Source organism: Homo sapiens, chromosome 21, assembly GCF_000001405.40.
Source record: "Homo sapiens chromosome 21, GRCh38.p14 Primary Assembly".
Classification (NCBI taxonomy): Eukaryota; Metazoa; Chordata; class Mammalia; order Primates; family Hominidae; genus Homo; species Homo sapiens.
The window spans coordinates 45,049,155-45,074,561 of NC_000021.9; the positions used below are offsets into that span (position 1 = coordinate 45,049,155).

The following is a 25,407-nucleotide window of genomic DNA, read 5'->3' on the forward strand; positions in this document are numbered from 1 at the left end:
AGACACCAGCCCATCTGGTGAACATTAGTCTGCAGACTTCTTGGTCAAGGTAATGTTCGCATTGTTTGGGCACAAAATGAAAACACAGCATTTGATTTCACAAGAACTTAGAAAAATAAGCATGGTCAGAGCAAGTTGTACGAGGATCAAAACATTTAAAAAATAGAAAAAACACATTGGAAGAAAAAGAGGAAATTTTGTTTAAAAAAATTAAAAGCCATTCAAAGATACACCATGTCGGCTACAAAAGATCTCTTTGGAAAATAAATCTTTAATTCAACTTTTTTTTTTTACATTATTTACATTAATTTTGGTTGAAAAGAACCACGTAGATCAATACTTTTCAGTCATTTGTGAGTCTAAAGTTATGTTTCTCTGTATGCTCATAAAATAATTATACTACCTACATTTGTCATTGAAAGAAAAGATGGTTGATAAATGCCAGATTTGTGGGTCTCAGAATTTCCTTGTTTCCAGATTTCTAAGGCAGTTAAAGTGACCTGCTGTGTCCATAGGAGAGCACCTCTCGTGAATGTATGCCTTATGTCTTTGCCAAATTCAACCTTTTCTTACTCATTTTTATTCTAGGAAACATTCTCAAGTGTCAAAATAGTCAACTGTTAACTATGAACACAGGTCGATGCTGCTCTCTGCTTTCGACACGTGTCCCTTCTCTTGTTCCTGGGCACGCCTTGATCCATCCAGGCTCTGCTGCAGCTGGGTGGGCCCTGGCTGGGCTCCAGCCAGTGGACCGTGAGCAGGAGGAATGCTCCCCCTGCTTCCAGAGAGGCTCACAGCCTCTCCCCGCCTGGGCCAGGGAGCAGCCCCGGTGACCTCAAATTCACCTGTGAAGGAAGATGGCGAAGGCTCCCTCAGCCTGGGCCCCTTGGTGCCACATGGGGAGAGACTCCCCCCACCCAAACCTCCCATGTCCCAAGCTCCGCTTCACCACCCAGGCCCTGCTTGTCCTGCTCTCACCAAAAATGAACACACTTCTCTTACACTTGGGCCGTGACACATGTTCGTATCTATCTGTCATAACGGTGGCCTCCCTAAACCACTCAGTAAGTTACAGGACTTCCTTTCATTCCTGTATCCTGAAATTTCACTAACATTTCTGCCTTTTCTGTTCACCTCATGATACTCACTTCTGTTTTGTAACCAGAACTACTTTAGAAAGGCCCTTCCCAGACGCGGAATTCTTGTATGGTTTTTGTTCCCAACACCATGTCATTCGAGTTGTTTTCGCAGCAGCGATGGATTTATGTGGCTTTGCTAAGCCTCAGCTCATACTTGCCATGTTTTGTATCCATCTTGGGATCTGGACAAGAATCTGGAAAGGGGGCGTCTGTGCCAGAGTTCCCATCTGACCTACTGCTGTGGTTCCAGAACATTCCGTCCCCAGGATGTCCCAGCCCATGGCAGGTGCTCAGCGGGGGCTTGTGTGACCAGCTCAGACTCCAGTTCGATGTACTCAGAGGCTCCTCCAGTGCAGGAGCTGGCGAGGCCCCCTCCTCAGGGACATTCTGCTTTGCTCTTCAGCAGAGCTCGGCAGGGGACGGGGCGGGAGCCAGGCTGCAGACCCAGCTCCCAGTGGGCAGAGGTCGAGGAAATGGCACACAGACTGCTCACACTGTTTTACACTTTGCTATAGGTTACTCATATTCATTGTAGAAAAATATAAACAAGAAAAATAAGCAAAAAGAAGAAAAAGCCCCTCGTAGAAACATCACACAGGTGATGACTCATGCCTGTACCTACGTGGACAGACCAAACTACGCACGCACGTTGTGCTGTGCACATCTGACCCCGTGACACGCGAGGCACTGTGCACGTTTTTTTCATGTAACAATTATATCATTAGCAGTTCTTAAGGTCAGGAAGTGAAGAGCTGGATCATTTTAATACTGCGTAGAATGCCATGGTTTGAATAAACACGTCATTGAGTAATACTGTAGTGTTGGCCATTTAGGTTGTCCAGATCTCAGCTATTATAAAAAGGCTGTGAATCTATCTGGGGGCGTATCCCTTATTATCTCCACAGGATAAATTTTAAGACATTGCACACATTTTTAAGATTTCTGACAGGCATCGTCAGGGCATCCTGCGGGAGTGAGTGACCGGCCCCACGTCCTCCAGCGTCCCCCACCCCGGGCATAGCTTTCTTTTTAGTATTTGCTAATCCAATAATGAAACATGGCATCTTGTTATCTTTTTAAATTTGCAGTTTTATTTGTGATGTTAATCTCTGGCTCTTGAACCAGTCAAGGTGTTAACCCTTTGTGCGCTGCATATGCCTTTGGTTTGTAGCTTGCTTGTTGTTACTGTTTTGTTTCTGTTGGTTTTTCTTCTTGTTCTGATTCCTTCCTGTACCCTCAGGAATGACGTGAGGGTACCTGGGACTCTGACTGTGACATGCTTTCCACACGCATCTCTGTAAACATTGGGTCCTTACTCTGGACATTGTGTGAGATGAAGCCCCCACGGTAGGGCCGGAGGGAGCACGAGAGCGATCGTCAGAAGCCAAGCCGACTTGGGGGAGACCAGCTACCCTCTGCATGTGAGGGGCAGTGGGCCTGTGGCTCGAGTGTGCCTGCTGGTGCAGCAGGGACAGGCTGGAACCACCAGTGTGGCCCCCGACCGCTGCGTGGCCATGGGAGGGGCACCACCTCTTGGCTCACAGACCTGCTCGCCCATGAGTGCAGCTGTGACCGTGCCAGCCTCCTGGGGTTGCTGAGGATCAAATGAGAACATGCAGGTAGAGTGCTTACAGCAGCGCCTGGCATGCAGTGAGCCCAATTCAAATGCTTCTGTGGTAGAATTTGATCTTAATTTTATAAAGCCCTCTGGTTGTTTCATTACCTACAATCACAGGTTAATAGTTTATAAGTGCTTCTTAAAATTTTCCAAGTCATGGGGTCCAAACAGGCCACACTAGACACAGCTGGCACCTGAGAGCGTCCCTGGGGTTTATGTTCTGAGAAGCCGCTGCTCCCAGGCGAGGCCTGCACCGGGGATTGTGAGTGGAACAGGAGCCGGGCATTCAGAGAGGCCCTGAGGACTTGGCCACCACCAGCCGTGGCAGGAAATGGTTGGCAAGGACAGTGTCCTAAGAAAGGAAAACCTAGAAGGAAAATTGGACCCTCCAGAGACTGCCCATTCGATGAAGAAATGTCCTTCAGACGCCAGCTTGGCCCTGCAGCCAGCACAGGAACAGACCGGAGCCTGAAGCAGCCGCCATGTAACCAGATAGGGCTGTGTCCAGGAACTCCAGTGCAACCGTGGCCCTTGGCTGAGGTAAGCACAGGCATCTTTAAAAGCCATTAGGTTGCACCGGGCACAGTGGCTCACGTCTGTAATCCCAGCACTTTGGGAGGCTGAGGCGGGAGGATCACTTGAGCCTGGGAGTTTGAGACCAGCCTGGGCAACATAGTGAGATCCCATCTCTAAAAAAAAAAAAATAGCTGGGCGTGGTAGCATATGTCTGTAGTCCTAGCTGGTCAGGAGGCTGAGGTGGGAGGATCGCTTGAGCCCAGAAGTTGGAGGCTGCAGTGAACCATGATGGCACCATTGCACTCCAGCCTCGGTGACAGAGCGAGACCCTGTCTCTTAAAAATAAACATGAGCTCCACTCACACAGAGCTGGCAGGAATGAGTTCTGCTTTCATCAGGGTCCTCAGGGGACCCTCAATTGAATTCAGGTCCTCAACTGGATGTGGCCCACCACAACGGGGAGGGTCATCTTGCTTTCCTCAGTCTGCCAATTTGAATGCTAATCTCTTCCAAAAACACCCTCACGGAAATACCCAAAGTGATGTTTGACCAAATATCTAGGCACCCTCTGGCCCTGTCCAGGTGATACATGAAAGTAACCATCACAACACCGAGCCACCTACAGGACTCCTCCACCTCGCTGGCTAACAGGCACCCCCAACGTAGTCAGAAACAGACATCCGCTCTCCCTCCCAAGCTCATCAGAGGACAGGACAGACCTGCTGGCCATCACACAGGCGGGTCCTTGGACCATCTCTGGGCCTTTCTCCCATGCCCCCACGCCAGTCTAGCATCACGTTTTGCTGGTTCTATCTGCGTGAACACGCTGTGCGCTGAAAAATTCAAGGTGAGGATCAGTGGGTATCAACTTGCTACCACTTTCCAAAAACAGAAGATTGCTCACAGCTGCAGTTTTGCACATAGGTTTACATGAGAAAGTAACCAGGCAGGAGGAGCTTGGGGGAGGGACACTGGACACTGTATGTTTCTTTATACTTTTTGATGTTTGAGCCAACTATAACCTATTCAGAATTTCTAAACAGATAAGCCCACAATCCAAATGTTTGGAGTAGGCATTTCCTAAGAAATGCCCCCCACTCTCTAAGGAGTTTCTGCACTGAAAACTGGCCAGCGGGCACCCTGGGGCCTGAGGGAGGTGCTGAGAAGGGGCATGAGGTTGGGCTGGTGACCACACAGACAGGGTCCTCCCCAGGCTGAATTTTCAGATGCTTAGCGCTCTGGCCTCCCTTCCACAGTCTGCCCTGGCCAGGTCGGAGCCATGTGGTCAGTGAAAGAGGCTCCAGGGGATCAGCCTGCAGCTGACGGACACCAAGTGAAACTCTGGGGCCAGCCTCTGGGTCAGGCTGTGACATTTCCACCTGGTGGCACATGCCTGGTCTCCTTACCACAGACTCCTAGGATGGCAGCTCTGTGGCTCAAGTCAGAGAGGCAGACGGCCCCAAGAAAATAAGGTGGCCTGGGCTGGGTACAGGGAGGAGAGGGTGATGGGCTGGGCAGGTACACTGGGCAGTGCATGGGAGCGCGGAGAGCAGCAGCCACTAGAGAGCTGGGTGGGAACAGGGGTCAGGGAGCTGGGTGGGAGCAGGGGTTGGGGCAGGGCCTTGCAGGGCTTGTTTCTGCCCAGCTTGTAAACAGTACTGAATGCCACACCTAGGAGGTGGAAATCATGCTGGAGAGAGCTCACCCTTCGGACTCAGCACATTCACCCACTTAGTCAACTAGCACTCCTTTGTGCTACACTTGCCCCCAGACGTTGCCAGCCAGATCTCCTCCTGTTGGAATGAATTTTCACCTTTTTTCCCTCTGTCTTCAGAGCTATTTGGATGAGAATTTGCGACGGGCTGCCCCAGGGGCCATTTAGTGGGCGGTCATCTAAGCTGGAAGCCAGCCTCAGTCCAGGAGATGTCAGGTCCTATACTGAGCCCGTCAGGCCATGCTCTGCTCTAAGGCAGAGAAGGACATTACCCTAGTATCCATGGGGACATGGGGAGGCCAAGGAGAGCCTGTATCCTCGGTTTTTGGAACTCTCTGGGTCTGAGGAGATTGTTCACAGTAGAGAATAAGGAACTAAGACAATCTGAACAGGAGACTTGCTTCCAGCCAAGGTGGAGTAACAGGAACCATGTTTACCTTCTGCTTGAAAAACCAAACAAATCAAAAGAGAAAAACCACATGAAACAAGAGGTGTCAAGATACCAGCATCAGACAACGAGGGACAGCTCTGCCCGAGCCACAGGAGACGGACGGGGCGCCCTGAGCTGCCCCAGCCGACCATCTGGAGTGTCAAAGGCGGCGGAGCAGGGAGGGGAAGCCTAGGAAGTCCATTCATAGGCCGACCTTGAGCTCCTAAGAAAACGACCTTCTGGAACACAGGGCCCCACTCCCGCTGGGAGGGAAACAGCCATGGCCCCAGGATTTTGCCCCCACTGCGTTGCCTTTTATGAGTAGAACATAACACACTCTCAGAAATGAAGCCGTGTGAGCCTCCTCGACACACCGGCTGACACAGCGCCCGCAGGCTGAGTGCTTGGCAGCAGCGTGGAACTCGGCCCTGGCGTGTCGGAGCTCAGGGTGGCCCTGCGGGAGGGTCTGAGACTTCATGTAATGTGGCCAGGGGAGAACTGGAGCCCACCTTCCCACTTCATGTAATGTGGCCAGGGGAGAGCTGGAGCACACAGCGGGGCACTGTGAGCCCGGGCGCCACGCCGCAGCCTGCGGGTTCTGCTGAGGGTGCAGTCCACGCAGGAGGCTTCGGGATGGACAATTCCAAGAACAGACTTGCTAGGTAGTCCGGCAGGGAAGCACCAGCCTCCAAAGGCCACCACAGGCCTCCCTTCCACACCCACGCAGTCAGCTGGCGCCGGGGAGTGCACGGAAGGACCACGCCGGCAAGGAAAGCGCAGCTCTGAGCCCCCGCGCCTTCAGGCCCACCCGGAACTCTCAGGAACTCTCAGGACTGCTCCTGAGAATGCCCCTCCCAACCACAGCAGGTGACTGTCATGGGCGTCCGGAGCCTCTCAAAGATCCAGGAGGAGGCGTGATGTGGAGGGACCGGCCAGTGTGGCGGGGCCCGCAGCGCCAGAAAAGGCAGCTGCCGCAGAGTTGAAGAGCTCATCTTAAGAAGAGTCCCAGAGCACCGCATGTTCTCACTCATAGGTGGGAATTGAACAATGAGAACACATGGACACAGGAAGGGGAACATCACACACCGGGGACTGTTGTGGGGTGGGGGGAGGGAGGAGGGATAGCATTAGGAGATATACCTAGTGCTAAATGACGAGTTAATGGGTGCAGCGCACCAGCATGGCACATGTATACATATGTAACTAACCTGCACGTTGTGCACATGTACCCTAGAACTTAAAGTATAATGATAAAAAAAAAAAAAAAAGAAGAGTCCCAGAGCATAGAGGCCTGACTTCAGGTTACAAGCGCAAGGACGGGGCCAGACACTGCCACGCTCCGCAGGCGCAGCCAGCAACCCGTGTTACGGGTGCAGCGGTCACCACGCCGCAGCCGTTCAGGTCCCTCCCTCCCTTAACCAGATGCTGTCAGCCTGTGGCTTCTGTTGGTTTTATTGAACAAGAGCCACGGTGGGAGGGAAGATGATTTTGTTTAGCCTCCACTTTCTGCAGAGCGGCTGGGAGTCTGAGAACATCAGGGTAGCCAGGCGTGATGAGCATGTATGGTACACGGTCATGTTGGTCTGTGCTCCCACAAACTGAGAGGTCTTTTAAGGAAATCCCTCCCCAATCCGGAGTTGAGTCATCTGGCTTCCATCTCTGGGCTCCTTAAATAACCAGAATCTCAAATTAGCCATGAGAAAGAAACACACAAAAACATCTCTTTATGATAAAAAGGGAGACAAAACCCCAAAGCTGACACGTGGGACAGAGACTGCTCCGTTTGTCACCATTCCTCTCTCTTCCTGCACCTTCCAGCGTCTTGTATTCGTGGAAGGAGAGAATGAGCTGGAACAGAAGGAGAAGATGTAGGCCACTCGCCGGCGGCGGAGTGACGCCGCCGCCACTCCAGAGATCCCGAAATAAAGACGGTTTTTCCGCAAAACATTTGCTCGTAGGAGATGCAAATGAGAGATATTTTTAGGAAATATTAATGCACTGAGCTCTAATTTGCAGACTGCGATTTACTTCATCCCCTCCCCTAGCCAGAGCCATCTGAGCGCTTGGCTCCTTCCTGGAAAAATTCCGCTCTGGAATAATGACTTGGTTTCCTCACAGGAAGAATGCATGCATACTGTCAAGAGGCAAACAATACCCAAAGTTACAAAAAAGAAAGCAACAACAAACCACGAATGTCACTGCCAGACTCCTTGCCCAGAAACGCCCCTCATTCATGTTGGGTGAGTCTGGGCCCTGTGCAAGACATGGACAGAACACGCAAGCTGATCGTTGAGGAGATGCAAAGTTTAGGATTTTCCTTGAATTTAACAGAAGAAAAAGAAATGGAGTAAAACTGAAGGACTGCTAAACTTCACATAAATGAATCTTATCCCAAGAAACACTTATCCCTCAAGGATAGCCAGGAACCCCTGAAAAAGAAAGCCTAGTTCCGCCGCCTGTACCCCTTTCCTGACAGCCTCAGCCCTGCTGACAGTACGGCGTCCTCCAGCGGGTCGTGCCGGACAGACAGACACAGGGTGGACAGGAAGCCCAGAAGGAGGCCCGTGCACCTGGGAGGTCAGCATGAGATAAAGGGGGTGCCTCAAACCTCTGGAGCACAAGTGGACTCTGAATAACAGGGTAAGGGGCACGCCGGATAGGCTTGGAGAAAAGATGAGAGGTCTGCCTCACGCCACACACAAAAATACACTTCCAGTGGCTTGGGAACCCACATGTGAAACGGGAGCTCAGACAAGTCCTGGAAGAGGACATGAGTGCATTCTTCTGTCATCTGGGTGCAGGGATAGACTCTCTAACCATGACTCAAAGAAAAGAAAAGATTGGTAAATATGGGCATAAAAAAGGAAAAATATATTGCACAGCCAAAAGAAAACACCACAAAGACAACTGAAAAACTAGGAGAAAATATTTGCAACATAAGCCACAGATGAAGGACCAATGTCCTTTTTTCTTTTCTTTCTTTTTTTTTTTTTGAGACAAAGTCTCGCTCCATCACATAAACTGGAGTGCAGTGGCGCAATCTCGGCTCACTACAACCTCTGCCTCCCAGGTTCAAGTGATTCTCCTGCCTCAGCCTCCTGAGTAGCTGGGATTACAGGATTACAGGCGTGCGCCACCACGTCCGGCTAATTTTTTTGTATTTTTAGTAGAGACGGAGTTTCACCATGTTGGTCAGGCTGGTCTCGAACTCCTGACCTCAAGCAATCCACCCACCTCGGCCTCCCAAAGTGCTGGGATTACAGGCATGAGCCACTGTGCCCAGCCTCAACATCCTTAATAAATGAAGAACTCGTACAAATTGAGGACAAAGGACCATAAATCAGAGAGACAAACAGAAAAAGGACATAAAGAGACAGTTCCCCCAAAAGATTAAAATGAGCCTTAAACACTTGAAACCTGTCTACTCACTCATCCTTAGAGAACGCAAACTTCAACCAAGGCCAGGCACTACCTCTCATCCACGAGACCGCGCATCCGTCCGCTGGGCTGTGGGAAGCAGGTCCCAGTCCCTGGCGGGGATGCCACTGGGTACAGCTCTCCCAGAGGGGCGTTGGCAACACGGAACAAAATGACATGCACACTTACCTTTGACCCTGGGAAGATGTCTCCAATTTCCAAAACGAAGACGCCCGTGGTTGACATCCTTCCTCTGCAGCACTGTTTGTAATTGCAAAACACGAGCGACAATCTGAGCATCCACATACAGGAGGGGGTTGGATGAGCTGGGGGTGTCCACCGGTCTGAGAGGTTTTTGGACACACAGGCAGGTGGACAAAGCGAAGTTCCAGAAAGTCTAGAGGGTGCTGCCCTTCAGGAAGATGGCCATGAGGGGCAGGGAGGGGGAGGGGTGTGGGGCAGTGGCGTGGAGGAAGGAGGGTGGTGGGGGGAGTGGGGCTCAGGGAGGGGGAGGGGTGTGGAGGAGGGGGTCGCAGAGTGGGGAGGGGAGTGGGGGCAGGGAGGGGAGGTGTGTGGGCAGTGGGGGCAGAGTGGGGAGGGGTGTGGAGGAGTGGGGATAGGGAGAGGGGGGAGTGTGGGGGAAGTGGAGGGAGGGAGTTGGAGGGATGGTGTGGAGAGTGAGGGGCAGGGAAGGGGAGAGGTGTGGGGGAGTGGGAGGCAGGGAGGGGGAAGGGTGTGGGGGATGGGGACATGGAATGGGGAGGGGTGCTGGGGCAGTGGCGGCTAGTGAGGAGGGGGACAAGGGAGTGAGCTTTTAATCAGGGTTGATTAGAACACAGAAGCTTGGCCGGGTGCGGTGGCTCACACTTGTAATCTCAGCACTTTGGGAAGCCAAGATGGGCGGATCACTTGAGATCAGGAGTTTGAGACCAGCCTGGCCAACATGGTGAAACCCCGTCTCTACCAAAAAAATCCAAAAATTAGCCAGGCGTGGTGGTGCGAACCTGTAGTCCCAGCTACTCAGGAGGCTGAGGTGGGAGAGTCACTCGAACCTGGGAGGCGGAGGTTGCAGTGAGCCGAAATGGCGCCACTGTACACCAGCCTGGGCAACAGAGTGAGATCCTGTCTCAAAAAAAAAAGGAAAGAAAAGATCATGGAGGATTTTGCAGGTTGGTAAGTGGTGGGAGGGAGGCAGAATCAGAAGTGGCATTCAGGACCCTCCCATCTGGCTGCACCTGTCTTCCTCTGCTCTCCTCCCCAGTCCCTCCCCTGCCCTCACTGGCCCCTGGCCCCTGCCATGCCAGGCCCTCCCTTCCAGGAAGCCCTGAGGCACCCGAGTGACAGGCACTGGCTCCCTGGGCTCTCCTGGCTGGGGTCCACATCACTTTCCTGCCCGCTGGGCACAGGCTCTCCCCCAGGCCTCTTCTGGACCTGGGGAATGACTACTGGTCCTGTAAGAATGTCGTCTCCTTCAGGAAGTCCTCCCTGACCTGGCCAAGCAGAAGTCTTGCCTGACCACAGCACCTCTCACGTCTGTGACGAATCTGCCACCCTGGGTGATTGAATGGCTTGTCCCAGCTGCTGTCCCAGCCACCGGGCCCACTGTCTCTCCCTAGGGTGTGACCCACACCTTACCATTCTTTTTTTTGAGATGGAGTCTCGCTCTGTTGCCCAGGCTGGAGTGCAGTGGCGCGATCTTGGCTCACTGCAAGCTCCACCTCCTGGGTTCACGCCATTCTTCTGCCTCAGCCTCCCGAGTAGCTGGGACTACAGGCGCCCGCCACCACGCCAGGCTAATTTTTTTTTTTTTTTGTATTTTTAGTGGAGACAGCATTTCACTGTGTTAGCCAGGATGGTCTCAATCTCCTGACCTCGTGATCTACCCACCTCGGTCTCCCAAAGTGCTGGAATTACAGGTGTGAGCCACCACCCCTGGCCACACCTTACCATTCTTAATCAGTTTAAGATTAGCTTAAGAAAACATCTGACCATGAAAGTGAATACAGAATACATGTGTCCATTACTAAAGCAAAGACTGCTCACCACCCCACCACTGTTAGAATTTACAATCTCCGCTGCCCTCTTACAGAGGGAAGAATCCACCCCTTGTGGGAGCAGCTGCTACTGTGAAAGAAGCTCTCTGAGCTCTCAGAGCCGCAGTTTCACCTGCTAAACGCCTGGCCCATCAAAAGTGAATGTGAGGCTGTGAGTGCGAGATAGCAGCCGGGCCCCAGACACCTGGCAGGGCACCAAGCACGCAGGCCCTTGGCACTGGTGTGTGCGAGGCAGGTGTATGATTGGGAGCCACTCAGGAGACCCCCAGGAGGACCCCATGCTCAGGAGGGCTCTCTGCTCAGGAGGACTCTCTGCTCTGGAGGGCTCAGTGCTCAGGAGGACTCAGTGCTCAGGAGGACTTGTTCTCAAGAGGGTTCCATGCTCGGGAGGACGGTGTTTGCATTTTGAGTGCTCTGTAGTTGTTATCTTGATATTTTAACAATTTTATTATTGAATGTGTGCTTTGAAAGAGAAGCCCTGTGGGGCAATGGAGTAATGGGGCTCGCAGCCTTGACTCACCCGAGGCCACTCCACGGTTCTGACCCTGACGCCTCTGCCTGTGAAGGCCCCTCCTTGTCTTGCAGGTATTCCCATGCTCAAGGGAGCACGGCAGTAAATGGCACGTAAAAATCACTGTGACAGATTGAGAGGGCAGGGGAGGGCGATGGAGGGAGGAGCACAAACAGAGACAGACTTTGGAAAAAAGGAAAGAACGTTTTTCATGTTTCATGAAGAAGCAGTCTCATTTTCATTTTTCAGTGCACCCTGCAAATTATGTAGCCAGCCCAGCTCTCAAGTATTATACAAATATGACATATCCTGCCAGAGTTTGCTCTTTAATGAAACTAGAGAAGTCGGCAGGACCTGAAAATCATGTACAGTAGCCTCCACCATCCTCAGTTTCACTGTCTGTGATTTCAACTACCCACAGTCAATTGCATTTTAAAATTATAAACCGGAAGGGTCCAGAAATAAACCATTCACATGTTTTAAATTGCACACCCTGTGAGGAGCACACGGAAATCTTGCACCGTCCTGCTCTGTCCTGCACAGGATGTGAATTGTCCCTTTGTTCAGCATATTCACGCTGTCTACGCTACCCGCTGTTAGTCACTTAGCAGCCCTCTTGGCAGTCAGATAAAAGAGACATGGTACATATAGTGTTCTGTACAACCTGGGTTTCTCCCCCTGCCTCTGGGTTCCCAAGGTCTTTGACCTTGGAGAGAGAGTTCTACCATTGGCTTCCCTGGTTTGGGGCTTTTGGACTTATACTGAGCCACACTACCAGCACCCTAGTGTCTCTAGCTTGCAGATGGCCTGTGTGGGACTTCTCAGGCCCCACAATCATGTGAACCAATTCCCCTAATAAATCCCCTCTTTATCTATCTGTCTGTCTGTCTGTCTGTCTGTCTGTCTGTCTGTCTATAATCTATCCATCTATCTATCTGTCTGTCTGCAGCTTCAGGCACCAAGTAGGTGTCTTGAAACATATTCCCCACAGATAAGAGGGGATGACTGTACTATGCTTAGTTTTTGGGACCTCTGAGCTTACCTCCTGGTGTCACCCTTCTATGTACTCTGCCATGTGGGCACAGCAAATGCTCTCTATAAAACTGTATCACAGATCCCAGCCAATGCAATAAGGCAAGAAGAAGAAACAAATGACATACAGATTGAAGAGGAAAAAGCAAATCTGTGTAGATTCATAACCAATATGATTATAAATGTAGATGCAGAAAATCCCAAAGAAGCTACAAAAAAGCACTAGAATTAGTAAGTGAATACAGCAAGGCCAAAGGGTATACAATCAATTACCAGATCCATTGCTTTCCTATACATTAGCAAGAAACAACTGGAAAATTAAAATTTAAAATACCACTCAGACTAGCAATAAAAAACACAATATTTAGGAATGAATTTAACGGAAAGTTTTTGTGATGGTTCATTTTAGGTGTCAACTTGACTGGATTAAGAAATACCTAGAAACTTGATAAAGCGTTATTTTGGGGTGTGTCTGTGAGGTGTTTCCAGAGGAGATTAGTGTGAGTCTGAGTGGACTAGTGGGTGAGATTCGCCCTCAGTGTGGACAGCACCATCCAGTTGTTGGGGCCCTGGAGAGAACAGAGACAGAGAAAAGGTGAATGTATGGAGCTCCCTGCTGGAGCTGGGACACACTCATCCTCTCCTGCCCTTGGACAACAAGGCCAGCCTCCCTAGCCTTTGGTGCCAGGGCTTTCATCCCCTGCCTCTGGGTTCCCAGGCCTTTGACCTTGAACTGAGACTTCTACCATCAGGTTGCCTGGCTCTGGGGCTTTTAGACTTGGACCGAGCCACACTCCCAGCACCCTAGGGTCTCTAGCTTGCAGATGGCCTGTAGTGGGACTCCTCAGGCCCCACAGTCATGTGAATCAATTCCCCTAATAAATCCCCTCTCAACTGTCTATCTACCTGTCTGCCTGTCTGTCTCTCTGTCTCTCCCTCTCTCCATCTACCCATCTATCCACCCATCCTATTGGTTCCGTTTCTCTGGAGAAACCTAACACAGATGTGCAGGACCTTTACCCTGAAAACTGCAAAACACAGCTGGGAGAAATTAAAGACAACCTAAACAAATTGTGAGTGTTATGGTCTAAATGTTTCTGTCCCCCTAAAACTCATATGTTGAAGTTCTGACTCCCAAGGTGATGGTTTTTGGAGGTGAGGCCTTTTGGGAGGTGGTGTGGTCATAAGGGTGGAGTCCTCATGATGGGATTAATTTCCTTATAAAAGACACTGTAGGCTGGGCACAGTGGCTCACATCTGTAATCCCAGCACTTTGGGAGGCCGAGGCGGGCAGATCACGAGGTCAGGAGTTTGAGACCAGCCTGGCCAACATAGTGAAACCCCGTCTCTACTAAAAATACAAAAAATTAGCTGGGCGTGTTGGTGGGCACCTGTAATCCCAGCTACTTGGGAGGCTGAGGCAAGAGAATCGCTTGAACCTTGGAGGCAGAGGTTGCAGTGAGCCGAGATCGCACCACTGCACTCCAGCCCGGGTAACAGAGCAAGACTCCATCTCAAAGGAAAAAAAAAAAGACACTGCAGAGAACTATCTAGTTCCTTCTGTTACATGAGGCCATAGCAAGAAGGCACCATCAATTGTGGAGGCTGAGGAGTCCCACTACAAGCTGTCCACAAGCTGGAGAGCCAGGGATGCTGGCAGTGTTGCTCAGTCCAAGTCCAAAAGCCCCCGAACCAGGGAAACTGATGATAAAACCCTCAGTCAAACCAAAGGCCTGAGAACAACAGGCAAAGGGTATAAGTTCTGCAGCCAGAGGCTGGGGAGCCTGAGCCTTCACCAGACACCTTGACCTTGGACTTTCCAACCTCCAGAACTGCAAGAAATAGATTTCTGTTGTTTATAAGCCATCCAGTCAAAGATGCTTTGTTATAGCTACCAGAATGGACCAAGACAGAGAGGTATACCATGATCATGGATTGGAGGATTCAGTACTAGGAAGCTGTCCATACTTCCTGAAATATCAATATTATTCTAATAGAAATTCCAGCAGGCTTTGTTGTAGAAATTGACCAGCTGATCCTAAAAGTTTAATGGAAAGGCAAAGAACTTGGAAGGGGGCAAACAATCCTGCACACAGCCTACAGGAATGACACCAGCTTCTTTTCCTTAAGCTATAGGATGCAAGACAATGTGGTGTCTGTGGGAAGCAAAACAAATAGATCAATGGAACAGAATAAAGAGTCAAGAAATAGACCCACTAAGCCCTGGTGCAGTGGCTCACACCTGTAATCCCAATACCTTGGGAGGCCAAGGTGGGAAGATCACTTAAACCCAGGAGTTTGACACCAGCCTGGGCAACATAGGGAGACCCTGTCTCTACAAAAAGTAAAAATGAAAAAATTAGCTGGGTGTGGTGTTGCACACCTGTGGTCTCAAGCTACTGCAGAGGCTGGGGTGGGAGGATTGCTTGAGTGGGGAGGTGGAGTCCCCAGTGAGCCATGGTTGTGCCACTGCACTCCAGCCTGGGCAACGGAGTGAAACCCCGTCACAAAATACCGAAAGAATTAGTTGTTGTAACGGAGGCTAATATGCTGGTGGGAGTGAGCTCAGGTGAGCGCGCCCCTTCCATAGTCACCCCAGTGTCCACCGCACACATCCTTCAGGCAGTGGAAGGGGTGGAAGTGCCCCTCCCCTTCCTCCTACCCTCCCACCCTTCTTCTTCCTCTCCCTCCCCCTCCTTCTGTTGTGTTTTACAGATACATGAGGGGCGGGGCCTGGGGCCTAAGCACTGGAATCCTCATGGAGAGGCTTCCCTGGAGTCCTTAGCTGCAGAGTGGTGGGCATATCTGATGCCCTTATTCAGATCTACCCACTGCGATATGTGTGAAGTGCTGAAGCTTTAATAAATAAAACGCAGGAGGGCTTGAGAAAGGCTCTGGGTATGGTGCACACAACCAGCTCATGCTCAGGGGATCGGGAAGGGGGTTCACCAAGCGCCCATGGAGACTGCATGCACTTATTTAATGAGCAACAAAGACATTACCAGACAGTCAAGGAAAAACATGTGTTTTTCCACTTTGGGAAATAGTCAAACTTTCATATTCCACCAAAAATAGAAGTGGAATTCTAGAAAACAAAAATAGGTGGGCTTATACTTGTATGCCATTCAAGCAAACCCGCATAGACTATGACTGCTCTCATCTCTCTGGAATGTGTGCTGTGTTCCCAGGAGGTCCGGGAAGGAGCCAGGACAAGAGGGAGCCTGGGACCTGTTCCTGGGCCTGAACTCCTGCGGCCACCAGGGTCCCTCCTGGTTCTCGTGGGGCCATCTGGGGTTGCACCCCTCCAGATGTGCTCTCCCTCCCCTCCGTCCCCTGAGGCGTTGATGACCGGCGGGAGACCCTTGCCCCTGAAAAGAGACTGGCCGAAGAACTGATGAATAGCTCCATCACCAATCTCCACGGTGGCCCGCACAGGACGGCAGAGACTTTTCTCCTCGAAGACCCTAGGCTGCTGGCAAACACTGAGCACTGCACCGCACGGTGGAGGGTGCTGGGGAGGGGCGAGCCTCTGAACCTCAGTGCAGGCGGGAACAGTGCCTCACATTTCTGTGGCTGATGGAATATTTAATGCTTAGTTTATACTTTCTTTTTACACGGTTTGCTTGAGGCATATTTTGTTGACTCATGACTTTACAGATAACTTCTCTGATGAGACTGAAGCCCAAGGAAGGGACCAATGTCCAGTAAGTGACCTGGTCTTACATCAACCAGAGCTGCTTCCATGCACTCAATAGAAAATGAGGCCCGAAGCCTCTCATCTGCTAGGCAGGGCCAGGCCACAGCAGCCCCCCATGGCCAGGACGCAGTTGGGGAGGGGGGCCAGGTCACAGCAGTCAGCAATGCCCCGTACCCAGGCCACAGACTCCCAACCACCCAGGCCACAGGAGACCCCCACTACCCCCAAGTCAAGCCACAAAAGTACCCCCCCCCCCATGCCTTAGGCCTCAGCAGGGCCAGGTGGAGCCCTGAGGTCTGGGCTTCTTCACCATTTTCCTTGTTTCTTCCACTCCTTGTCCTTGAAGCAAGGGGGTGGGCAAGCAGAGAGGGGGATTTGCTAGAAGGATCCTGGGGTATCTCCCGGGCTTTTTCCAAGTTGGGCTTTTTCCAGAAATGCAAGGTTGGTATAACATTTAAACTTTAATCAACTTAATTCATCATATTAATGTAATGAAGCAGAAAAATCATACTATCATCTCAATAAATGCAGAAGAAAGAATGTGATAAAACTCAGCATGCATTCAGGAAAAGAAACTCTTAGCAAAGTGGAGATAGAAGTGAGCTTCCTTGATCTCATCGGGGGCATCTATATTTAAAAATCCTACCACAGATCTCACACTTATTAGTGAAATATTGAAAGCGTCCCCCCTGAGGTCAGGAAAAAAATAAGGATGCTCACCACTAACACTTCTTTTCAGCAGCAGCTGGTGAGGTAAGCCAAGAAGAAAGCAATAAAGGATAAAATGATCAGAAAGGAAAAAATGAAAAAGTCATTATTCACAAACAAAATGATACGTATATAAGAAACCCAATAGAATCTACAGATAACTATTGAAATTATTAAGTGAATCTGGAAAGACTGCTGGTACAAGGTCAATACACAAAGATCAACTGCATTCTAAATAAACCAGAAACCAGTGGTCAGAAAATAAAAATAGGGAACATTTTAAATGATCATCCAATGCACCAAATGTCTGCGAATAAATCTAATGGACTATGTATGTAATATCTACACAGAAGACTAGAAGATAATGAGAGCAACTGGAGAATATTTAAATCAATGTAGGGCTAAACGTGAACTGGAGCACTCAATATTGTGAGAATATCCGTTCTCGCCAAATTGATCTATAGCTTCAATGAAATTCTAATAAAAATTCTAGCAGAATATTTTGAGGAAATTTATAAGCCAATTCAAAGATTTAAATGGAAATGCAAAATACCAAGTATAACCAAGAAAATTTTGAAAAACAGAAAAACTGCAAGGTGATTCTACGGTGTCAAAAGAAGACTCATGAGAAAGCTTCAGTAATTAGGACAGGAAACAGCAGTTCAAGGCCAGTCCTCAGCACCTAACAAAATAGTTCAGAAAAAAGCAACAACCCATGCCTATATGGATGCTGAATTCACAACAAAGCTACTGCAGCAGAGCAGCAGGGAGAAGGGAAATCATGTCAGTAAATGGTGCTAGGTCAACTGGGCACCAAACACAGACAACAGTTATGGACTGACTCTGAACCCCTACCTCACATTGTACAGAAAAACAATTCCTGGTGAATTGTCCTCTAAATTTGAAAATTGAAACAATAAACCTTCCAGAAGATAACAGAAGCATTCCTTCATGACCATGGAGTAGTTGAGTTTTCTAAACAGGAAACAAAAAAACCCTAACCGTAGAAAAAAACGGTAGATAAATTGGATCACATTGAAATTAAGAACTCCTGTATAACAAAAGACTCCACTGTGATTATGGAAATGCAAGACACAGGGTGAGAGAAGGTATTTGCAACACATATAGCTTGCCAAGAGTTTGGGTCTAGAATATATAAATAACTTCTACAAATAAATAATAAAGAAAACTTGTGGCTTCTTCACCAGAAAGGATGTGCATGTGGAAAACAAGAACATGTAAAGATGCTCAACCTCACTGGTCATTAGTGAACTACAGATTAAAGCCACTGTGAGGAACTACCACCACCCTCCAGGGTGGACAAAGTGTCAACACCAGCTGTTGATGTGGACAAGAAGCAGCCAGAAAGCTCCTCGCCTGCTGGTAGGAGTATAAAATGGCTCAACACGTTGGAAAATCAGTGTCCCCTCTGGAGTGGACCTATGTGTCTCCTGTGACCTGGTACACAACCCAACAGAAACATACACACGTGCGCTGAGAGGTGTAAGAGAAGGTTCACAGAGGCACAGGTTGATGGATCTCATGAACACAGCGTCAAGTGGAAGAATCAAGACACGAAAGAATACATTCTGTGTGATGTCACTTATGTGAAGCAAAAACAGGCATAACCAATCTGCGGAGGTAGGAGTCAGGGTAGAGCTTATCTTTAAGGCCCAGAGGCAGCTGTGGCTATGGAGGGGCACGCCGGACACTCCGAGTTGGTCACGTTCCGCTGCTCGCCCTGGTGGAGGTTTCACAGCTGTGTCCACTTTGGGCTAATGTGTTGAGATGTACATTTATGATATGGATACTTTTTGGTGTATGTATTATATCTCAAAAAAGTTTGAAAATACATGATGATGGCCACTTTTCACACCACCGTTCATGGCTGCTGTATCCCTGAGTAGCTTGTATAGGTGACAGTCAGCCCGAGTCCCTGAGATTCCAGTTTAAAACTATCAACTGCAAGATCTTGAATATATGGTAGTTGAAAGTTTCCTAGAGAGAAGGCTTTAAATAACCACATGAGCCATCTAATTTGTCACTAACCCAACTGTACTTAGGCTCAGCCTCCAGCCTCCATCCCCTCCAGAACAGCTCCTGGAGATTCAGCAGAGCGCGGCCTGCCCGCGCCCTCCCTCCTCCCCACTCTTGCCTGGCTTCAGTTGCTAATTACCTTTTAGCTTCTCAGGAAAGACTGCTAACATAATAATTAAGACATAACTCGGCAAAATAGAAAAAAAAATCTCCTTTTCCTGGCTCTAGTCCATTATTTTAGAGTAGTATGTTACCAGGAGCCATACTGTTTTTGCATCTGATTTATTTTAAAAATCTAGTATCATTCAAAAGAAGTTGGTGAAGCTGCTAATTTTGTTTGCTTTATATATTTATACTCATCCCACAAAGAATTTGAGGTGTTTGGTGTGTCTCTATATTCGCTTGCTCTTTTAATAATTTTTAAAAATGAGTTTCTCCTTAAGGATCATGTACTTTTTTTTAAATCTATTTTTAGTTCATACTTTTGTTACTGTTGAACAGTATCATCTTCCAAATTACACGTTGTTTGCTGCCGATATATAGAAATCATTTTGGGGGTGTGTGCATGTGTGCCAATTTTATACCCAATAATCTTGCTGAATTTTAATTAGATCTAAGACTTTGGCTGTAGATTTAAAATTATCTGCCTACATAACCATATTTATGTCTCCCTTTCCTCTCTTTATACATGATCAAGTGAAATAATCAAGACACAAAAGAATACAACCTGTGTGAGGTATTAGCTCACTGAAGCCTCCAACCCCTGGCCTCAAGCAGTCCCCCTGCCTTGGCCTCCAGAGAAACACGCTTCCGTCTTTTCTCTCCTGCCTCGCTGGGCCTTCCCGCCTCCCACACTCCCTTCTCTCTCTATGCTCACCTCTAATGCTAGGCTGAGGCTCTTCGGGTCTGGAGCCAGGTTCCCTTCTTTCCTTTCTCCATTCTCTCTTTAGGGGATCGGTGACGTCTTCCATTTTCAAGGGTTTCAAGTGTCCGTCTCCAGCACGGCTCTCCTCTCCGGACATCAGTCTTTTGTACGTAGCTATCTTCCCAACACAGCCACTCAGACATCCTGTAGGCATCGCAAACTTAACGCACCCAAAAGGAATGCCTGGTTTCGTCCCCCCATCCCCCGTGTCATCCCAGAGCACCATCACCCGCCAATATGTGCAAGCCAGGATCCTGGGTAAGCCCTGATGCTTCTCCTCCCCAGACCCCTCTAGTGACTCTATCACTAAGTCCTGTTGAGTCTAATTCCAAAAGCCTCTTAACTCTTTCCATTTCCACTGTCAACACCTGATGAAGGTCTTCTGCATGGAAGCCGCAGGCATGCCTGAGCTCTAGGCAGACACCGCCGGGTAAGTCAGAGCCTCCGTCCCCTCACCGGGGTGCTGATTTGGGTTGTGTTTCTCCCACCCCCAGACAGTCTATGCACTTCGATGGCAGCTGCTCCACCTCCCAGTTCCAGAGCTAGGCCCTACTTGGCTAAACCAGGGATTGCCTTTCTCTGCAAAGGGCCAGATGGCAAAGATCTATGGCTCTACCGGCCACATAAGCCCACTGCATCTATTCTTCATAAGCCCCCACCCACCCCAACACTTTACATGTTTAATGTTCATTCTTAGCTGTTGACTGGACACCACTGGGCCCAGGCTCAGCCTGCCCACCTCTGACTTAACCACGCAGCACATTCCCTTTCCCTGGTCTCTACAGAGTGCAAAGTGGCCTGACCAGGAGGACTCTTCTGACCAATGGTGGCAGAAGCCTCCTCTCTTCTCTGACTTCATGTGCCATGGAAGTGCTTTTTCCTCTGCCACAGGCACTCCTGCTGTCAATGCCTTCTCATCCTCCAAGGCTCAATGCAGCTTCCTGCATTTTTCCTCTGCCACAGGCATTCCCGCCGTCAGTGCCTTCTCATCCTCCAAGGCTCAGTGCAGCTTCCTGCAGCTTGCTCTGACACTCCTGAGCGGTGCAGCTGCAGTGCCCTGGACTCCTGCAACCGTTCACACTCCTCTTCATTAGGAGCCTGCATTTGTACATCACCACTGGAGCTTTTCCACCCATCGTCTCCCTCTTCTGGATGCAGAACAGGCTCAGACAGGCCAAACAACTTGGCCAGTGCTGCATGGCACAGCCAGGTCCGCACTGACTGTCACGCCTCTGTTCCTGCCCTGGACGGTGTCTCAGGTAACACACTGCACTGCTCCCTGACACCATCTCCCCACTAGAACATGAACGCCCTGAAGCAAAGACATCTTCCTGGCCACGTGTTGACCTATGCACGTGACACTGCCTACGGCGCTGAAAGGCCATCAGTTCGTCCTCTCTCTCCTGCCCCTGTGTGTCTACCCCAGTTTTCTCTCTTCAGGCTGGCCAGTGATGGAGACCATCCTAATTGTGCTGGATTTGAACCCTTCAGGCCTAGGCACAAAGAGAGACTCACGATTGTCTCAATGCTAGCTCTAAGCACCCAGGGCCATCCTGGGAGTCAGAATCCCGCCTGAGGTCCTGGAGTGGGTTGTGGGGGGGTGTGCTGTGTGCCTGTCACAGAGCACAGACAGACTGTTCCTGCTGTGTCACTGTGGGAGTTGGGAGTTGTCCTAGAGACAGTGGCACATTGTGAGCTGGGCAGGTCTCACACATGGTATCCACCACCATGGCAGCTGCTGACTGAATGGTTTGGCAACATCTGGTTTTTGCCACTCCAGTCTCATGTCTTCTTATTTTATTTTTAAAATATAGGGCAAAAAATATTATGTCTCAAATCACGGTATCACCGAATATTGGTCACCTCTTATTAGCAGTTTTATGCTCCTCCTGACGTTTGAGAAACAAGGAAATCAATAATCCACTTTAGGCTACAATCTAAAAAGTACCTGTGAGTGTCCTTTCTCAAATAGATTGGGCAGAATTAAAACAAAGCAAGATTGTTTAAAGCTACATTTTTAGTTGCACACAAGGACTATAGTCAAATAGGCTTCAAAAGCACAAAGGCTGTGGTCAGTCATCAGCCCTAGGACACCAGGACCAAGACCAGGCCACAGTCTCAGCACAGCAGGTTGGCAGCTCGCTCTGTAATTGATGAGACAGAAATCTGAGCACACGGATTGCCCTGTGTGGCTGGAAAGGGAAAGGAAGGCTGTCCTGGCCACCGCGGCCCAGGGAGGCCAGCACACCCGTGCGCAGGTCACGTGACCCACTGCTCTGATCCCACCGTTCTAGCCACAGTCTGCCAGGCCCTGGGCATGACAGGAAGGGGGTTCACAGATCAGTGGCATTTACACGGGTAAGCTTTGAACACTGTCTTCAACTGAAAGGCCAGTGTGTGAACAGGCCGGGCAGCTGGACCACTCCGAGGCTGGCGCCTTCCCCTCCTTTCGGGCAGTTCCCAGAAGGCTCAAGACCACAGTTTGAAATCCACTTAATCTCTCGAGTCGGCCTGGGTCTATATCCTAAGACCGTGGAAATCATTTTGTGCCACCGTATCCTGTAGGCATTGGCAGGACCAGCGTAATTTTTAGTTCTTCTCGTGGGAGACAGTCACAGGGTCATGCCATTTAACTGCACTGAAGGGAAAACGTGGGAAATGGATTTTTGGTGCTGTGTAGACCACATTTCATAGCGGTTGGCATCTCACATGCTTATGCAAAGCCTAACTCCGCACCCTGGGGCAGACAGTGGGAGCCCAGCTGGATTCCTACACTCAAGCCCTCCAGCATCAGGTTTATTTTCCAGGACACCAGAGTGATTGTTTATTCCATAATTCCCACAAAGGAGACAGTAAACAACAGAACAGAGGTGGAGCGGGCACGGAAGGCCAGGAAGTGGATGGTGGCTGCCAGCACTTCTGTGGAGACCCAGGGCCCCCCTCCAGGAGCCCCGGTGTTCAACCTCCACAGTGAACAGGGGATGGATGGCTGAGATGTCCTCGAAATTTTTTTGGACTTCCTCAGGCGACCACAGGATTCCTTCTCAAAGAGCCTGATCTCAGCAGGCACCCGAATGGGCATCCTGGTGCTTCATGCTCTACAACAGCTGGGAACGCCATGTCCTGGCCCCAGGCGACTGGAAACTGCTTTCCTCCCCGACATCAGCACCAAGGGGAATGTTCCCAGTGCCATTCTTCCAAGTCAGGGAGAGCGTCACAATAGAAACCGTCTCTGTGGAGAGGATGGCACCTGAAGCCATGGAATAGGAAGGGAGCATCAGAGGCTGCTGGCTGGTCCTGCAGAGCCGCCTGAGAGGCCTGTGGGAGCAGCAGAGGGTCCCGGCCTTGGGCGCCATCCGCTCTCTGCTGCTCTGGAGGGAGAAAAAGGACAAGTTGAAACTTGCACAAGCAGCCTCCATTCTGGGGAGTTCCCTTGTATTCCCCACACCAACCCGCACCTCAGCGAAGGCCTGTGGAAGACTTCTGCAGTGACAGCCCCGATGAACCATGCTTGCCGTGCCCGTCCCCTGTGCGGTGCCTCACGTCCACTCAGGCCCCGGCCATCTCACCCTCCTGGGGAGATGGAGGGAAGCACCATGGGGATTTGCTTTTTCTTGCTGCCGACGGAGCCCAGCCACCACGGGAGGGAGGCCCGGCCAGCCTGCGGTGGGTGGGTGACATGTGGCCCGGATCTGCCCGGGGCGCCTGCCTGTAAGTGGGCCCAGCAGACACCCCATGGAGCCGAGGCAAGCCGTCCCAGCTGAACCGGCTTAAGCTGCAGGCCCACAGAGTCATGAGCAGTGAAGAGAGGTTTTCGCCCTCTGAGGTTTGGGGTGGCCTGTTACACAGAAATACACACAACGTCCTCAGGCACGTATCTCTTTAAGAATGTGTCCCGAGAAGGCGTCCCAGGAGTCTTGATTTTTATTTAGCCGTCCACGGTTGCCCCTTTGGGTGCTTCGCCTTCAGATGGGGTGAAGGGCTCACTTGTTAGCTGGCTGGCCCCAAAGACAGGCTTGTTTTCCACCAGGCAGTGACTGAAGCCGGCAGCCTGCTGCATACCGCGGGCCTTCCCCTGACCTGTCCGGGACTGCGGGCTGGCGGCTGACACCTGCGGAGTGCTTACCGCATACCAGGCTCCCAAACTTCCATCTGTGTTCGTCTTTTAAGTTTTGTTGTTTTCCAGAGTCGGAGTCTCAGTGTTGCCCGGGCCAGAGCGCAGCGGCCATTTATAGGCGCGGACCTCGGCCTCGCACACCACAGCTCCAGCTCTGAGACACAAGCGACCCGCACCCCCCCACCGCCCAGCCCCAGCCTCCAGACTGGCTGAGATCACAGTGTGCGCCACCCCATCCCTGGCTTGCGATGGTCTCTTACTCCCCACTTTACAAGGGAGGAAAGAGGCCGAGGGCAGAGTGGGCCGCCTGAGGTTTGGAGGCCAGGGCTAGTACAACCTCAATTTGACCCTGGAACCTGCCGCTTCCCCCACCCAGGTGCGGGACCCACCCGCTTGTCCACACCTGGCTCTGCCCACCGCCCCCGGCTGCTCCTCTGGGCTCAGGTCGCCGCGGTCAGGAGCTGCCAAGTTTGCCTATCAAACTTTATCTTCGTGCAGAGAACTGCAGCCTGGAGCTGGTTATTCCGGTCAGTGAAAACGTTGCATTTCTACATATGCTTATCATCATCTGTGTAAACATTTCTTGGTATAACTGTGGAACAGTCAGTAAATATAGATAAATCGAAGAGTAGGTCTATTGCATATGCTATAAAAAAATGCTTTTACTATCAACCTAAAACAAACAAACAAACAAAAAAAATCAAACAAAACCACCATCACCTAAACGTTGGTAACTGGAGCAGCTGCTAGTGTCAGTGCGGACTAAACAGGAGACGGCGGGAACCGTGTCCAGCCAGGGTCCTGGGCCGCGACCTGGTTCTCCCGGAGTCTACAGTGAGGATGACGGGCGGGGAGAGGGGGCCGGCGGGACCCGCGTGTCCCAGGCAACTCCGGGAGAGGGAGAAGCAGGGGTGGCTCGGCGGGGGCTCGGCGGGGGCTCGGCGGGGGCTCGGCGGGGGCTCGGCGGGGGCTCGGCGGGGGCTCGGCGGGGGCAGCGCCCGCTGCAGGGAGGAGCGCGGGGGCCCGGGAGCCTGGGCAGCACCGCGAGACGCCACCTCCGCAAAACGCAAACGCCAATCGCCGGGCGCCTGCGGTCCCAGCTACCAGGGAGGCTGAGGCGGCAGGATCGCGTGAGCTCGGAGGTCCACCGCGCTCCAGTCTGGGCGACAGTGAGACCCCGTCCCCAAAACGAAGGCGGGCAGAGTCTCCTCAGCCGCGCTCGGGCGGGCGGCGCCGCGACGCCAGGCCGGTCCCGCGCTCTCGCCCCACGCTCCGGAGCCGCCCAGCCGCGGTCTCTCAGCTCCGGCCGCGCTCCAGCCCCAACGGCCCCGCGCCCGTCCGCCGCAGGTGGTCGTGAGGGAGGTGCCACAGCTCCGGCTGCCCACGACAGACACGGGCGCCCCAGCGCGCGCACGTCCGGCGTCGCTGCGCCGCCCCCGCCCCCTCGGCGTGCGCGCGCCCGGCGGGCCGGCGGGGGCGGGGAGGGGGCGGA

General features: G+C 51.1%; 1 long non-coding RNA gene and 1 pseudogene across 2 annotated transcripts, besides 7 other annotated features; both read right to left on the bottom strand.

Moving 5' to 3' along the window:
- Window positions 1-251: 251 nt before the first annotated feature.
- Window positions 252-24,587, bottom strand: LOC105372836 (uncharacterized). The gene is made up of 5 exons (XR_937796.3): window positions 24,319-24,587; window positions 19,751-19,942; window positions 11,409-11,582; window positions 9,024-9,095; window positions 252-7,084 (listed from the first exon to the last, which is right to left on the bottom strand). It is a non-coding gene; the product is annotated as an uncharacterized LOC105372836 (long non-coding RNA).
- Window positions 931-2,130: an enhancer, noted in NCBI's record as "BRD4-independent group 4 enhancer chr21:46470000-46471199 (GRCh37/hg19 assembly coordinates)". NCBI's record gives its function as "activates an origin of replication core promoter dependent on BRD2, P300/CBP, MED14 and CDK7 cofactors, and independent of BRD4, by STARR-seq in HCT116 cells {active_cell/tissue: HCT116}" and the evidence as "EXISTENCE:reporter gene assay evidence [ECO:0000049][PMID:35650434]".
- Window positions 931-2,699: a biological region, named in NCBI's record as "BRD4-independent group 4 enhancer GRCh37_chr21:46470000-46471199".
- Window positions 2,066-2,699: an enhancer, noted in NCBI's record as "H3K4me1 hESC enhancer chr21:46471135-46471768 (GRCh37/hg19 assembly coordinates)". NCBI's record gives its function as "activates a minimal SCP1, AML or CMV promoter by ChIP-STARR-seq in naive and primed H9 embryonic stem cells {active_cell/tissue: H9 hESC(naive and primed)}" and the evidence as "EXISTENCE:reporter gene assay evidence [ECO:0000049][PMID:30033119]".
- Window positions 2,700-3,331: an enhancer, noted in NCBI's record as "H3K4me1 hESC enhancer chr21:46471769-46472400 (GRCh37/hg19 assembly coordinates)". NCBI's record gives its function as "activates a minimal SCP1, AML or CMV promoter by ChIP-STARR-seq in primed H9 embryonic stem cells {active_cell/tissue: H9 hESC(primed)}" and the evidence as "EXISTENCE:reporter gene assay evidence [ECO:0000049][PMID:30033119]".
- Window positions 15,614-16,447: an enhancer, noted in NCBI's record as "H3K27ac-H3K4me1 hESC enhancer chr21:46484683-46485516 (GRCh37/hg19 assembly coordinates)". NCBI's record gives its function as "activates a minimal SCP1, AML or CMV promoter by ChIP-STARR-seq in naive H9 embryonic stem cells {active_cell/tissue: H9 hESC(naive)}" and the evidence as "EXISTENCE:reporter gene assay evidence [ECO:0000049][PMID:30033119]".
- On the bottom strand, window positions 21,801-24,057 carry SSR4P1 (signal sequence receptor subunit 4 pseudogene 1; annotated as a pseudogene). The gene has a single exon (NR_027292.2). The product of NR_027292.2 is annotated as a signal sequence receptor subunit 4 pseudogene 1 (transcript).
- Window positions 25,070-25,159: a silencer, noted in NCBI's record as "silent region_13398". NCBI's record gives its function as "represses an Ori minimal core promoter by ATAC-STARR-seq in GM12878 lymphoblastoid cells {active_cell/tissue: GM12878}" and the evidence as "EXISTENCE:reporter gene assay evidence [ECO:0000049][PMID:35858748]".
- Window positions 25,180-25,379: a silencer, noted in NCBI's record as "silent region_13399". NCBI's record gives its function as "represses an Ori minimal core promoter by ATAC-STARR-seq in GM12878 lymphoblastoid cells {active_cell/tissue: GM12878}" and the evidence as "EXISTENCE:reporter gene assay evidence [ECO:0000049][PMID:35858748]".